The following is a 2,519-nucleotide window of genomic DNA, read 5'->3' on the forward strand; positions in this document are numbered from 1 at the left end:
AAGCTCTCAAACCCTTCCTGCTCTGAGTGGGCACAGCAGCTCCAGTTGCTCAAGGGCAGGTCTTGGAATAAAGCCTTGGGTACAGGCCATTAGCACAAAAAGGTAGAAGCTAGAGATTGGTGCTCAGAATCATAAAAGGGAGCCAAGGGGATCTGGGACAGGTGGCATCGGACAAAGCTACGTTCCTGTCCCAGCTGTTTCTACCTCTGCAACCAAGGGTAAATTATTTAATCTTACTGCCAAATTGTCTCAGCTATAAAGTGGGGACACTTTTCACAGAATTGTTGTGCAAGGTAAAACAAGAGAATACAAGCAACATGCTTAGCATAGGGCCTGGCACATATTGGGAATTATTTAATGATGTCGAGTCTGGCAAATGCTCTTCCAAGTGGACTTAACCTTGGGAATACTGTTGACAGTGAAGCTGAGCTCCAATGCCTTGTTCTGTTCCTTATGTTTCTTTCTCTCTGCTGGTAGTTTTCTTCTTTCCCTTATCAGACACCCAGCCTCACTTGCTCCTTGGCATCAGGTGAAATCTCAGGACCTCATGCTCCATGCCACCCACCTGCCCCGTGGCACCTTCACCCTGGACTTACTCTCCTGATGCATCACAGAGCAGAGTGTCCAAGGGCCCAGGCTTTGGAGCCAGACAATCTGGGTTTGAATCCTTGCTTTTACTCTTACAGTTGTGTGACCTCCTTGGCAAAGGGCTTGGTCTTTCTGTACCTCAGTTTCCTTATCTGCCTAATGGGGATAATAAGTGCTCTATCTCTTAGAGCTGTCGTGAGGTTAGTGAATTAATTTATGCAAAGTGCTTAGGATAGGACATAGTGCTCAGTGATTGTTGTCTGGTATGATTGTCAGTATAAAATGATCCTGGGTCAGATCCCCACTTTGTTTACTGCCCCAATTCTTGGGTTTATAATTTTCTGATCAGTCCTTGCTGCTTTCACCCTCCAGCCCTGGCTGGGCTCCTACCTTTGTCCTCCTTTCAGTCCCTGGAGCTGCAATATCACTACCTGTTGGAGCCCCAGATGCTCAGCATGGGAACAATCATGAGCATGCGCACAGCTCTTTCTGGTTTTCTATGCAGCACATGTCTACCTTGATCTGTGCCTCCTTTATCACATGAGGAAATTGAGGCCCAAAGCAACTGAGCAACTTGCTCAAGTTCACCCTGCTCCCAAGCAATGGAGCCCTTATTACCACCTCCCCATCGACTCCAAATTCAGTGCTCCCACACACTCCCCACTAGAGACCCAGGCCTGTGACCACAGCACAATTCACCACTTCCTCTCCATCACCTCTGCACAGATCGGCCCTTGTGACAGTGTCTCCCCCACCGCAGAGTTTATTTGTTTGTCTTTCCTACTGGACTAGGAGCCTCTGGATGCAGGGTCTGTGTCTTACTCATCTCTCTGTCCCCAGCCCCTGTCACAGGGCCTGGCATGCGGTAGATGCCAAATATATGTTTGTTAAATGGATGAGTGAATGAGTGATTTGTCCTTGGCATATACCCAGGAGTCATAGTGGTAGAATATGTGGACATTCAATTTTACAAGATAATAACAGGTGATTTTTCTTAGTGGTTGTACCAGTTCACACTTCCCACCAGCAATGTGTAAGGGATGGAGTTGATCCCCATCCTCTCCAGCACTTGGGCACCATCAGACAATACATTACAGGTGTCAAAAGACAAAATTACACACATGATCTAATTGGCTTTTATTTGCAACTTATGAATCAGGACAGTGTCTCTTCTACAAATTTGGAAAAGGCACTCTGATGAGCTAAGCAGAGGAGGTAGGCTATATAGGCAAAAAAGGGCTAAAGAAGGCAGAAACCAGGAACAAAAAGCAAATTGGTCATTTCGAAGTTAATTTTCTTATAGGGTTAAAGCAGAGAGGAATTCCTTAGAATGGTAGCTAAAACTGGCCTGTTTGGGGATTTGGCTATTCTCTTTCTCCCCTGATTTTTCATAAGGTCAGATAAACAGCTTAGTTTCAGTTTGGTGACATGGAATTTTAGTGTTTGTGACTTCATTTTGGTTTGGTCTGTTGGGCCTAGTGTAGGAGCTCAGTCCAAATCAATGGCTTCCTATAAACTTTCTTTAACACAAGAGACTGGGCATTTATATATTAGGAGTCACCTCTTCTGAGAAGCCATCTCTGACCCTCTACATCTGGATTAGCTGTTCTTCTCCCAGAATTCTACATTTCCCCATCATAACACTTATCTTACTCTAGTGCAATTGTCCAATTCTCCTTTCTCTCCTCCTTGAGACTGTGAGCTCCATGAGGCCAGGATGTCCATTCTCTTAACAAATCTTCACCAATATCTACTATTGTCAGGCTCTGTGCTAGATCCTACCATGATTTAAAAAGAACAAAAAACCCCATAAAATCCATAAACTAGAGCCAAGTGTGGTGGCTCACGCCTGTAATCCCAGCACTTTGGGAGGCTGAGGCAGGCGGAGTGCCTGAGGTCAGGAGTTCAAGACTAGCCTGGCCAACATAGTG

Source organism: Homo sapiens, chromosome 8, assembly GCF_000001405.40.
Source record: "Homo sapiens chromosome 8, GRCh38.p14 Primary Assembly".
NCBI classification, from domain to species: Eukaryota; Metazoa; Chordata; class Mammalia; order Primates; family Hominidae; genus Homo; species Homo sapiens.